The sequence below is a fragment of the Homo sapiens genome, chromosome 11 (assembly GCF_000001405.40).
Source record: "Homo sapiens chromosome 11, GRCh38.p14 Primary Assembly".
In the NCBI taxonomy this organism is placed as follows: domain Eukaryota; kingdom Metazoa; phylum Chordata; class Mammalia; order Primates; family Hominidae; genus Homo; species Homo sapiens.
Window position 1 is genome coordinate 129,344,387 of NC_000011.10, and position 7,712 is coordinate 129,352,098.

The 7,712-nt window shown below is 41.1% G+C and overlaps 1 annotated feature.

Moving 5' to 3' along the window:
• Nucleotides 303-1,185: an enhancer, noted in NCBI's record as "NANOG-H3K27ac-H3K4me1 hESC enhancer chr11:129214584-129215466 (GRCh37/hg19 assembly coordinates)". NCBI's record gives its function as "activates a minimal SCP1, AML or CMV promoter by ChIP-STARR-seq in primed H9 embryonic stem cells {active_cell/tissue: H9 hESC(primed)}" and the evidence as "EXISTENCE:reporter gene assay evidence [ECO:0000049][PMID:30033119]".

Consider the following 7,712-nt stretch of genomic DNA (forward strand, 5'->3'; position numbering starts at 1 on the left):
AGAGGTGGAGCCTACAGAGGCAGGCAGGCCTCCTTGAGCTGTGGTGGGCTCCACCCAGTTCGAGCTTCCGGAGGCTGCTTTGTTTACCTAAGCACGCCTGGGCAATGGGGGGCGCCCCTCCCCCAGCCTCGCTGCCGCCTTGTAGTTTGATCTCAGACTGCTGTGCTAGCAATCAGCGAGACTCCGTGGGTGTAGGACCCTCCGAGCCAGGTGCCGGATATAATCTCCTGGTGTGCCGTTTTTTAAGCCCGTAGGAAAAGCGCAGTATTTGGGTGGGAGCAACCCGATTTTCCAGGTGCCCTCTGTCACCCTTTTCTTTGACTAGGAAAGGGAACTCCCTGACCCCTTGCGCTTCCGGAGTGAGGCAATGCTTCTCCCTGCTTCGGCTCACGCACAGTGCATGCACCCACTGACCTGCGCCCACTGTCTGGCACTCCCTAGTGAGATGAACCCAGTACCTCAGATGGAAATGCAGAAATCTTCTGCGTCGCTCACGCTGGGAACTGTAGACCTGAGCTGTTCCTATTCGGCCATCTTGGCTCCTCCCTCCAATGTGTCTGCATTCCTAATCTTTCCTGGTCGTGTGACAAAAACCCGGTTTTAGCTGAACTAAGGAGCAAAATTCTGCAACACTAGGTGTGGTGGTTCATGCCTGTAAGCACTTCGGGAGGCTGAGGCAGGAGGATCACTTGAGTTCAGGAGTTTGAGACCAGATGGGTAACATGGCGAGATCCCATTTCTACAAAAAAAATTTTAAAAATTAGCTGGGCATGGTGATGCATGCCTGTAGTCCCAGGCATGGGGACTCCTACTCAGAAGGCCGAGGCAGGAGGATCCCTTGAGCTTGGGAGGTGGAGGCTGCAGTAAGCCCCAACTGTGTCACTGCACTCCAGCTTGGGTGACAGAGTGATACTCTGTCTCAAAAAAAAAAAAAAAAAGTAAAAGAAATACAAGACATGTACTCTGAAGGCTGTAAAACATTGCTGAAATACAGGAAAGAAAATGTTATTAGCCAGGTATGGTGGTGTGCACCTATAATTCCAACTACTCAGGAGGCTGATGCATTAGAATTGCTTCAACCCAGGAGGCAGAGGCTGCAGTGAGCCGAGATTACGCCACTGCACTCCAGTCTGGGCGATGAAGTCAGAATCTGTCTCAAAAAAAAAAAAAAAGAAAGAAAGAAAAGAAAAATAAAGAAAATTTAAATTAATGGAAAGGCATTGCATGTTCATAAATTGGAAGTCCTAATGTTAAAATGGCAACATTCCTGAAATTGATTTACAGGTTCAGTGCAATCCTTATCAAAATCCCAGCTGGTATCTTGGCAGCAATTGACAAGCCTATCTTAAAATTTATACGAAAATGCAAAGGAACCAAAACAGCCCCCCCACCCCAAAAATACAGAAAAAATAAGAACAAAGTTGAAGAATTTACACTTCCTAATTTCAAAACTTACTACAAAGCTACAGAAATCAAAACAGTGGGATATTCATAAGGGTAGACATATAGGTCAATGGAATAGAATTGAAAGTCTTGAAAACAACCCTCACATTTATGGCCAACTGACTATTTAAAAGGGCAGCAAGACAATACAATGTGGAAAGAATAGTCTTCAAGCCAGGCACAGTGGCTCATACCTGTAATCCCAGCACTTTACGAGGTTGAGGTAAAATGATTGCTTGAGCCCAGGACTCTGAGACTAGCCTGGGCAACACAGTGAGATCCTGTTTCTACAAAAATAAAAATAAAAAATAAAAAATCAGCTGGGTGTGGTGGTGCACACCTGTGGTCCCAGCTACATTGGAGGCTGAGGAAGAAGGATCACTTGGACCCAGGAGGTCATGGCTGCAGTGAGCCATAATTGCGCCATGGCACTCCAGCCTGGGTGATAGAGCAAACCCTGTCTCAAAGAAAAAAAAAAATAGTCTTCAACAAATGATACTAGAGCAACGGGATGTAGATAACTGGTAAAAAAAAAAAAAATGAAATTAGACTCCTTCCTTACACGATATACAAAATGCAAGAACTGAAGCTATAAAACTCATAACTAAATCTTTGTGAACTTGGGTTAGGCAATGCCTTCTTAGCTGCAACGCCAAAGGCACATGTAGCAAAAGAAAGAAGTGGATAAACTAGGACTTCATAAAAATTAAAACTTTTTTGTACTTCAAAGGACACTCAATAAAGTGAAAAGACAAATCAAAGAATGGGAGAAAATATTTGCAAAACATGTATCTGATAAGAAACTTGTATCCAGAATATATATTTGAAACTCGGCTGGGCGTGGTGGCTCACGCCTGTAATCCTGACAGTTTGGGAGGCTGAGACAGGCAGATCATGAGGTCAGGAGTTCAAGACCAGGCCAGCCTGACCAAAATGGTGAAACCTCGTCTTTACTAAAAATACAAAAATTAGCCGGGCATGGTGGCACGCACCTGTAGTCCCAGCTACTTGGGAGGCTGAGGCAGAATAATCGCTTGAACTGGGGAGGTGGAGGTTGCAGTGAGCCTAGATCATGCCACTGCACTCCAGCTTGGGTGACAGAGCGAAACTCCGTCTCAAAACAAACAAACAAACAACAAAAAAACCTCTTATAATTCAATAATGAAAAAAGAACAAAATTTTAAAATGAGCAAAGGATTTGAATAGACACATCTCCAAAGATATACAACTGGCCAATATGCATATGAGAAGATGCCCAACTTCATTAGTCATCAGGGAAATACAAAGTGAAACCACAATGAGATACCACTTCATACTCACTAGGATGACTATCATAAAAAAAAAAAAAGACAGATAATAGCAAGTATTGGTAAGACAGTGGAAAAATTGGAACCCTCATATGTTGCTTATGGTATGTAAAATGGTGCAACTTCTCTGTAAAATAGTTTGGCAGATCATCAAAATGTTAAACATAGAGGTACCATATTACTCAGCACTCCTATATGCCCAAGAGAAATGAAAATATATGTCCACATATATTTGGTCGACACCAAAACTTGTATACTAATGCTCATAGAAGCATTATTAATAATTGCAAACAAGTGAAGAGAGCTTAATGTCCATCAAGTAATGAATGGATTAACAAAATGTGGTAGGTATATCCATAATGGAATATTATTTGGCCATAAAAAAGGAATGAAGTGCTGATACATTCTATAACATGGATGAATCTAGAAAACATTATGCAAAGTAAAAGAAACCAGTCACAAAAGATCATACTGTGATCTTTTGAATCATATTATGAAATCTTATCAGGTGATTTCATTTACATGCAATGTCCAGAACAGGCAAATCTATAGAAACAGAAAGTATATTAATGGTTGCCTCTGTCTGAGGTTAGTGGGAAACAGGGAGTGATTGCTAATGGCTATGGGTTTTTTAGGGGTTGGTTGCGGTGATGAGGAAAATGTTCTAAAATTCATTGGGATGATGGTTGCACAACTCTAATATGTTCAAAAACATTTAATTTACACTTTATTGGGTGCATTGTATGGTATGTGAACTATACCTCAATAAGGCTGTTAAAAAAGAAATACAATGGTGTGGGTTACTGCCATCCTTGAGAATCTCTTTAATGACCAGTTGTCCTCTGTAGACTGTAGATGATGTGGGGAGATGCTGCAATGTAATTAGATTTCTTGATCTCAGTGTGAACAATGAGGGTCTCAAAGTGGGAGAGGCCAGTGGAAATGCTTAAACATCAGACTACGTGGACAACTTTACCCCAAAAGCTACACAATCAGAATAGTAATCAGAGCATCTTGTCTCAAAAAGATGTATAGTGATAGCTAACTAATCATGAGACATGTAAAATGAAATAGATGGACAGCCCACTAAGGTACTGCAAGCATAAATGAAAAAACCCTGGGTCTGTTGGGCATAAATCTAACTTGAGTTGCTGTAGTGGGCATTCATTGCTTCTTTCTTGGTTTCCAGGCCTAAACCACTTCCCAACCACCGGAACCCTTTGACTGGGAATTTGGCCAGGTATTTTTGAGAAAGCACTATGTAACCTTCCACAGTTGTGTACTATGAATCTTAAGTGTTTTCCAGTAGGATCGTCAGCCATTTGCCAGGGCAACTGTGAATTAGGGGAAGGAAGATCCAGGGGCTGTTAGATATTGTCTCTGAACTGATGCTAATACTGAGATTTGAAATGCTGCTATGGTCCACTGGTCTGAAGGGGAACTTATTCCAGACAGATAAATGATGGTGTCTTGCCCTAGTCTGTCTCACTGTGAGTCCATTGGGATTGCAGTCCCGTTCTGTGGTTATTTTCCCAGTCCAAGTGCAGTCATTTCTGCATAACGATGCTGATCAACAGCAGACCATATATATGACTATAGTCCAATAAGATTATAGTGAAGCTGCCCTATACAGATGTACCATTAAAATATTTTATACCCTTTTTTTTAACCATACCTTTTCTATGTTTAGGTAAGTTTAGATATGCAAATACTTACCATTGTGTTACAATTTCTTACAGTGTTCAGTACAGTAACATGCAGTATAGATTTGTATCCTGTATGGCTCTACCACATAGCACAGATGTGTAGTAGGCTACTTCATCCAGCTGGTGTAAGTACACACAATGATGATCCCACAACAGTGAAATTATGTGATGACACATTTCTCAGAACATGTCCCCATAGTTAAGCCATGCATGACTGTATGTATAGCATAGGGAGCAGACATACTTAGTAAGTGGCAGAGTCCTCACATGGGTTTCCTGACCCATAGATTCCTGTAGAGTTTCTCTCAATCTAGATTTTGTTGGCTGAATACTCAGGCACAGTTCAAAATATTCCTCTGTTTTCCTAAACATTTACAGCTGGATACAGAGCTTGATCTCCTTCAGGTTTGATCCCTTCAGCAAGGGTACAGGAAGTGTTGTGGTCTTCATGATGAAGACCATAGGGTCTGGTAGTATCCCGTTTTATAATGTTAGCAGTTGTTGATGCTCAAAGATCAGATCTATTAATTCACTGGGTGTGGCTAAATGATGATATTCTTTTTTTAAGTTCTATCTTATTTTTTGAGATGGGGTCTCGCTCTATTGCCCAGGCCAGAGTGAAGTGGTGGGATCTCGGCTCACTGCAGCTTCCAGCCTCGTGGGATCAAGCGCTCCTCCTGCCTTAGCCTCCCCAGTAGCTGGGACTACAGATGCACACCACCATGCCTGGCTAATTTTTGTATTTTTTGTAGAGATGGGGTTTCACCATGTTGCCCAGGCTGGTATTGAACGCCTGAGCTCAAGCAATCCTCCCACCTCGGCCTCCCAAAGTGCTGGGATTACAGGTGTGAGGCACTGTGCCCACCCAATGGTGATATTCTATCGTTTTTTTTTTTTTTTTTTTACTTATTAGACTCCTTTTATAAGGAGACAGTTCCCCTCGTCTACTATCTGTTACCCAGTGACACAGTTGATATATGAAAGGCAGAGCAAATTTTTGATTCTTTTCTTTTATTTACCAGTTTTCAGTATAATGAATTTGTTCTTTGACATGCTTTAGTTTTCTAAAATATCACTTTGAACTTATAGGTTTGAACATAGTTGAGGAATTCCAGACACTTGCAATTATGTATTTTCCTTTTTGAAGCTCTGAATGTACCTTCTTTTGCCGATAAAAGCTTCTTCAGTTTGATTCCTGATTCTTTCCTTGCAGGATCCTAGCAGTACTTGATAGCTTCCTTGCTATGTAGAAAGACAAGATGTTTTAGGCTCCTCTTGTACATTTCCTTCCCTAGATCTGAAATTCAGCGATTTCTCCAAGAAGCCCTAGTTTCTCTTAGTGGGACATGATGTTTTAAATTGAAGTCTAATGCTCATTGCTACAGGTTAGGTGACTGTTTCTAGACTTCTCTAATAGGGCTAAGTAAGCTTTAGTCCACATTATATACTTTACAGTCATGGAATAACAACACTAAAATGATCACCACATATTTAATTACTGAAAACGAGTTGAAAATGTCCTCATATAGCTGTACTATATTTTCACCCATATGTGATGGTTAGTGTTAGGTGCCAACTTGACCAGATTATGGAATACCCAGATAGCTGGTAAAACACCATTTCTGGGTGTGTCTGTGAGGATGCTCTGGAAGAGATTCTCATTTGAATTAGCGCAGAGTGAGAAGCTCTGCCCTCAACAATGTGGGTGACCATCATCCAATCCGCTTGAGGTCTGGGATGGAACAAAAGGCAGAGGAAGGACACATTTGCTGTCTTTTCTGGAGCCGGGCCATTCACCATCTATCTTCCTCTGCCCTTGGACATTACAGCCCCAGATTCTCAGGCCTTTGGCCTCGGACTGAGAGTCAGACCACTGGCTACTCTGGTTCTCCCATCTTCAAACTTAGTTTAAATTACACCACTGGCTTTCCTGGTTCTCTAGCTTGTGGAAAATATATCATGGGAGTTTTCACCTTCCATAATCAAGTGGGTCAACTCTCACAATTAAAACCCCTCTTATCTAGATCTAGATGTAGATTTAGATCTATTTATCTCTCTGTATATATCTTACGGGTTCTGTTTCTCTGGAAAATTCTGACTAATATAGCACATAACCATTACATACTATCCTCTTCCATTCAATCTTCATTTAGCCTTCACTCTGCAAGTAAGCATATGTTTAATGTCGACCACCAGTGCTTCTATCAATGTCTCTAGTCATCACCGTTGCCTGAAATTGGTTTTCTTGCAGGGTCTTCAAGCAGGGCTCATGAGAGTGATCCTCCGTGTGTTCTTGGAAGTGTTAGGAACATCACAATAGTGATGCTGCACTCTTCTCTCTGCATTCCATCAGGTAGCACTTGGTATTGACTTGCTGCACCTCTGGTGGTGTTACTTTGACCCCTTGATTGAAGTGATATCTACCAAGTTTCTCCACTGCAAAGTTATACTTTTCCCCTCTGTACTTAATAATTATTTTGTGATGAGATATTTTGAACCTATGTAAATGTCCCTTTCCTCGTTCAATGTTAATCCATCAGTTTAGGATGTATTGGTGCTTCTTATCTGAATTAATTATTACCATGATGATTCCCAAATAGTGATTTTCTTATTCCGTCATTCCTTCTACATTTACTACTTAGCATTTACCACAAGAAGGGCTTTCTCTTCTCCTTATTTATTTATTAATGTGTATATTTATATACATTATAATGTATTGTGTTGGCTCAGTTATTTCTGTATTATGCAATGGGATGTATTATTTGTTACTATCGTTATTTATTTTGATTCTCAATTTGCCTCAAATTTGTCCAGTGGAAGCCCCTTTGTGCTGGTTTCTGTGCCCTTTTGATGTGTCCCATTATTCTTTTAATTCTGTTACTTTTGATCACAATAGGATGTTCCAGGCTCATCCTGTACTTTTTCTGCCACCGTCCTAGACTTAGCCCCTTCTCCTTTTAGTGGAGAATGGCATTTGGAACCCAATGTCTGGGTGTGCTATGTGCGCTCATTGCAAATTTGGGTGTTGCTGCTCTCACGCAGTCCTAGTGGACAGAGATAGGAATTATATCGATACACACACACACACACACCTGTGTTTGCCTATTCTCTATATATGGAAAACCAGAAGTTCACACCAATACCTCCAATTCCAGTTCAACAACAGAGTATTCCTTCTAGCTTTCCCTCATTACACGTTTATAACTTCTTTCTCTGATAATCAGAAGCCTGGTTCTCACTGAGGTTATTTGCTCAA